The sequence below is a fragment of the Homo sapiens genome, chromosome 1, assembly GCF_000001405.40.
Source record: "Homo sapiens chromosome 1, GRCh38.p14 Primary Assembly".
NCBI classification, from domain to species: Eukaryota; Metazoa; Chordata; class Mammalia; order Primates; family Hominidae; genus Homo; species Homo sapiens.
In genome coordinates, this window is record NC_000001.11 from 89,737,738 (window position 1) to 89,743,737 (window position 6,000).

At 44.8% G+C, this 6,000-nt stretch overlaps 1 annotated feature.

Moving 5' to 3' along the window:
• Positions 1,774 to 1,943: an enhancer, noted in NCBI's record as "active region_1299". NCBI's record gives its function as "activates an Ori minimal core promoter by ATAC-STARR-seq in GM12878 lymphoblastoid cells {active_cell/tissue: GM12878}" and the evidence as "EXISTENCE:reporter gene assay evidence [ECO:0000049][PMID:35858748]".

Sequence of the window (6,000 nt, forward strand, 5' to 3'; positions counted from 1 at the left end):
ACACTTAAAGTACAAATATATTGTACAACTGTACAAAAATATTTATATCTTTGTTCTTTAAAACCTTTTTCTATTTTTTTTTCTTTTTAAACTAAAACACAAACACACACATTAGCCTAGGCCTCCCCACAATCAGGATCATCAATATCACTGTCTTCCATCTCCACATCTTGTCCCACTGGAAGGTCTTCAGGGGCAGTAACACACATGGAGCTGTCATCTCCTATGAGAACAATGCCTTCTTCTAGAATACCTCCCGAAGGACCTTCCTGAGGCTGCTTTACAGTTAACCTTTTTTAATAAGTAGAAGGAGTATACTCTAAAATAACAACATATAGAATAGTAAACACATAAACCAGTAGCATAGTCATTTATTATCAAGTATTATGTACTGTACATAATTGTACGTGCTATGCTTTTATATGACTAGCAACAGGTTTGTTTACACCAGCATCACCACAAACACGTGAGTAATGTGTTGCACTACAATGCTGCACTACATTGTTACAACAGCTACAGCATCACTAGGCAGTAGTGACGGCATGGCTCCACAGTACTTTCGGGGCTGCGAGCCGTGAGGCTGAGGGCAGTAGGAATTTTTCAGCTCCATTATAATCTTATGGGACCACTGTCATATATGTGATCTGCCGCTGACTGAAACATCGTTATGTGGTGTGTGACTGTACAAGAAGACAGGCCAGTTCTGCGCAGTTCTCTTAGCCAGTTCCCTGGCAGAGTGTCTCAGACAGGTAAAGTGAAGTTAGGGAGTGGGTGGGGCCCTCTCTGCTCTGCCTCCAGCCCCAGATTTCTTTCTGAAGGCCAGAAGAGCCCTGACTGTCCCAGTGACCTCAGGACCAATTCGTCCATTAGGAGCAATAGGCACAGAGGGCTTTTAGAGGCCCACAAAAATGTTTTAATTTTAATTTCTTTTCAAATCAGAAGAAAAACAAATTGCTTATATAATAATAAATCTGGCCTGTATTATATTAATTTTTATACCAACAGTCGTAAAATTTTTTAAAAATTTAATGGAGGAAAAGGCTCATGAAGGCAAAAGCCATCAGGGCTCATGAAAGCCATAGTGCAGCCCTCGCTGACCTGAGCAATACAGCAAAACCAGCCAAGCACTGAACTGCCCTGGGAGGGGCTGCTCCCAGGCTCTGCCTGGTCAGGGCAACCCTCGGTTTAGAGGCAGAAGGCCATCCAAACTACCTCAACCTCTTAAATAAGGTGTACTGGGCACCGTATACCTCCTCCCCTCACTTAATGATACAAAATAAGGGAAACAGCATGATCTCACTCATTCGTCTCCCAAATAACACAAACCCAGGTGTGACCTCATCCCCTGACTCTCAAGTAAGGAAAGCTCATCAATGATCTCAACTTTTTCCTCAAAAAGCAAGCTCACCCACGGCCTCCCCCTAGTCCAGGCAAGATCAAGCCTGATGTCACCCCCCACCTCCCAATCCCTCCACCCATATCTGGCTGGGTTCCTCCTCCCCCTCCCCACAGCCTAAGTCTCCCCATCCCACCCTCCAGCAGATGACACACTCCTACCCCACTGCTTCTCAGAAGCGGCTCTGTCTGAAAGTGTGGGTGTCTGGCTGGACGCTGCTTCCTCTCAGCCCCAGGGCCAGGCAGCCTTCTAGAGACAGTATGGACACAGCACCTAGGCAGTGACTCAGCCGTGGCAGCAGACAAAAATTTATTCAAGGCTCAACACTAAAAGGGGAGTTTTTAGGCAAGTCTGAAGAAGAGACTGAGCCAACTCAGGATGAGAAACTAAAAAGCAAAAGGGGAAATCCAGGGCTGAGAAATTCCTAGAAAAGAATTTATAACTTTGGCTGGGAGAAGGTTCTCTGAGTTGACAGGACGAGGCAGGAACAGCCCTCAGCCACACAGCTTGCAGCCCCGAGTACTGTGGAGCCATGACATCTGTTTGCCCATTTGCCCTGCTCACCGTTGTACATCCTCTGCAGGTACTGTGCATCTGCAAGGAGAGAATGGCAGGCCCCTGACAGCCTGGGCAGCCCAGGTAGGCAATGGGGGACTCAGGACCCAAAGAGCAATACCAACGGAATCTGTAGCCCGGATTTGATCTGTGAGAAAGGGGCAGGACAGGGAAAAAGTTAACCTTGTAAATAAGTCTGTTCTGGCAATATGTCATTAGTTGGGGAGATTGTATGGTGTGAGGGTAGGGGGTTTGTGGGAACACTCTGTACTTCCTGTTCAATGTTGTTGTGCACCTAAAACTGCTAAAACAAAAACAAAGTCTAATTAAAAATTGGCTGAGAAAACTACAACATAAAGCTGTTCTGTGGCCACAGAGCCCTGCCTAGCATCAGAAGTGGTTTGTTCTAGGTCAAGAGGAAGACTAGATACGCAGGACCCACCAACCAAGGCATTGTGATTGTAGGAGTCCCAAGAGATGAAAGCTCTCCTCTTCTCTCAGACCTTCAGCACAACTTTTGGTGTTAAAATTCCTTAACCGTGTACAAATTGCTTTGCATTCTACTGCTAAAGAACAAGTGCCATGCAAATACTTAGGGAAGAGATAGACTCTAACATATGAATAGCTGAAAACAGATCTTTTCCTAAGAAAAAGATTTCATATTCTAAGCTTCAGTTTCCTAATCTGTGAAATGATAACAATATAATCTGTCTGATGCAATGTCCTCTGGATCAGTTTGTGTTTGTTGTTTTAAATACAGATAGGCTCTCGCTATGTCTCAAATTCCTGAACCCAAGCGATCCTCTAGCCTACACCTCTCAAAGTGCTGGGATTATAGGCATGAGCCGCTGCACCTGGCCCCAGATCAGTTTGAAGTGAGATCTTTACCAGGTCACCACATTTAAAAGAGCTACCTTCCCCTCCTCAACTCTCACCAGCATTTCCTAGCACCCTTCTTTGTTTTATTTTTCTATATGACATTTATCATCATTTCCATATCATATATTTTACTTTTTAAATTCTCTTACCTTTCTCCCTTTGGAATGTAAATTCCATGAGGGCAGGGATTTTTGTCTGTTTTCTTCTATATCCTCAGCACCTGGAATATTTTCTGGCATATAGTAGGTCATCAATAAACACTTATTGAATGAATAATTCATATAACATCCTCAGCACAATACCAAGTATGTGATCCTGTTAACAATTATTTATTTTCTTTTCAAAGCCCTGACAAAGGTGGCATTGTCCTGATGCTTTGGGAGGACCAGTGTAAAACTAGTTGTTTGGTTTTTCATCTCTGCTCCGACTTTCCTCACATGGAGGTCCTCTCAGGCTTAAGCCAGGTAGACCAGCAGCTGAGCTAGCCTGAAGGCAGTCTCTGAAGTCTGGGCAAACTGTCCTGGCTTGGCTTTCTCAAATGAAAAACAAACAAACAACAACAACAAACCCTTTTCTCTATTCACACTTCTGATGCCAAATGTGTGGGTCATACTGAGCAATTCTCCAATTCTCTGGGGACACCAACTGGGTGCTGGATGTCCACTTTACTTCAATTATGACACTGGTTAGCTTGTGCTGACAGTTAACACAAGCCCCACAGATTAAGGACTCAGTCCCACAAGACTGCCCCCACTTCATTTGCCAATTGCAAGTAGTGGGTCTCCAGGTGACCCATAACTTCCGGCTTGCCTACAGATCAGGGGCTCTCACAATCCCCTAAGCTTTCATAATTTTCTGCAGTGGCTCACAGAACTCAGAAACATTCTACCATTACTAGTTTATTACAAAGGAGAGTATAAGGAATACAAATGAGCACACAGACAATGCAGTACCTGGAGGGAGGTCCAAAAGGGTACCAAGTACAGGAGCTTCTGTCCCCATGGAGTTGGGGTGCACCACCCTCCCAACACGTGAATGTGTCCACCAACCCAGGAGCTCTCTGAACCCCGTTGTTTAGGGTTTTTATGGGGGGTTCATTGTGTAGATATGGTTGGTTCAATCACTGGCTGTTAGTGATTGACTCACTCTCCAGCCCCTCTCCCCTCCCAGGAAGTTGAGGTGGGGAATGGGGAAGGGAGATATGGCTGAAAGTTCTAACCCTGTCATCAAGGCTTGGTCTTTCAGGTGACCAGCCCTCATCCTGAAGCTGGCTAGGGACCCCAGGTACTAGTCATCTCATTAGCATAAAAAAGACAGTCATCACTCTGGAGATTCCAAGGTTCTTAAAAGCTCTTGTGCCAGGGAACAGAGAATAAGACCAAATATAACAAATGGTGCTCCTCTTACTCCTATCATTCAGGAAATGATGAGGGTTTTAAGACCCATGTGTCAGGAACTGGGGTAAAAGACCAAATATATATTTTTTATTATGTCAGACAGCTATAGGCAGATGATTCAAGGGGCACAGTTATACCTCTAATGCCTTTGTGCAAATTATAAAAAGGTGGCTCCTTCAGGCCCATGGATTGGGAAAAAAGCTTTTATTCCTCTGGGCTGAAACATCTCTGAGACTGGGGAGAAAGGCAGGGCTATAATTCAGCCCACTGTCTTCCCTCCCCCTCGGCTGGACACTTTAGTGCAGTACAGAGACGGCACAGCTGTACCTGGGGCTATGGGAGAAAGTGGTACTGGGGGCCAGGGATATGTGGAAGACCAAGTGCCTCACCCTTACTATGCTCACCCCAAGGATGAGACTCTTTTTCTTTCCAACTGCAGTTTAATTGTTGTAGGGTCTCCTCAGGATGATGCTCACCTCTTGATCCTTCTCCACCGTGCCTTGCCCTGTTCCAGGCCTGTGGTATCAATACTTAAACTGAGCTGACCTAGGAAGAATGCCTTTCTTGGGTGTAAAGATTGAGCAAGCAATGGACAGAGCCATTTGAGGAGGGGCAATGTGTTGTCATGGAAAGGCCACACATCCTGGAATCAACTGACCTGGTATGGTGGCTTGATGGGTGTCAACTTGATGAGGCTGAACTGCATTTCCCAGAATTCCCTTTGCTGCGTGTTTCCCATTAGTGTGGACCACAGGAGATATTGTGTGAAAGTTGGAGGGAAGTAGTGAAGCCACAACCATTAAGTAGCTCACACATGTCTATGTTGGCATGAATCTGCTGGCTCATTTGCTGGGTCCTCCAAACACATGGATGTTTTTGCCTTCCCAGAGCTCTCCACTGTGAGAGCACTTGCTGTTGTGCACCGGCCCCACCTCCTAATACTCCACCTTGGGATTAGGATTTCAATACATGAATTTGGGAGAGACATAAACATTCAGTCCATCGCAAATCTCTTGCACTCTTAGCAGACAGCTAAATAAACCAACCCTGTCCCTGTCCATTGATCTTCTTCTCCCAGTTAAAATACCAGCATTTTCTCAGGATATTTGAAAGCTAGTGCTTTTACTCAAAGAAAGAGTATGGGTAGAACCTGTAGGCACCTTACTAGGCTAGTTGGGGAGGTATTTTGGGGTGGTTCTCTCCCAATCCTACCATGAGCAGCATCATATACTTTATTTGGATTGATAATAAAGGTGATTATTTGTGACCTTATTAACAGGGAATATAAATGCCTCAGAGAAGGCTTCCACTGTTTAAAACTATTTTCCAATTTTATGAGTTTTCTGGAATATGAGGTTATTCAGAGAAGGAGCCCTCTTGCAACTCCCTGGCATCTTACCCTCAGTTCCATCTGCATTTTCCACTCTCAACATCCACGCATAAACAGCCAGCATCCAGCCACTCTCTCCCCTTTTATCCTGCTGTGTTGTCACCCTGTCCTCCCTCTGTCTTGTCAAAAATGAGCAAAGGCATATTAGCCACCCTGGGACGGCTTGACACGGAAAAGGTGTCCTTTCAAAATCTCAGAATGTCACGATGAACTAGTTGAGAAAACAGTATGATGGACTGTACTGGCTTCTCCAAAGTCAGCCCCTGTGGAAAAATATTGAACATTTGACTCATTCACTGACATTTGGGACAGTTAAATGGGAGAGGAAAAAAAAGAAAGGAATGAATAAATTGCTTCTTTTTCCTCCATAGGTATCTGATTCA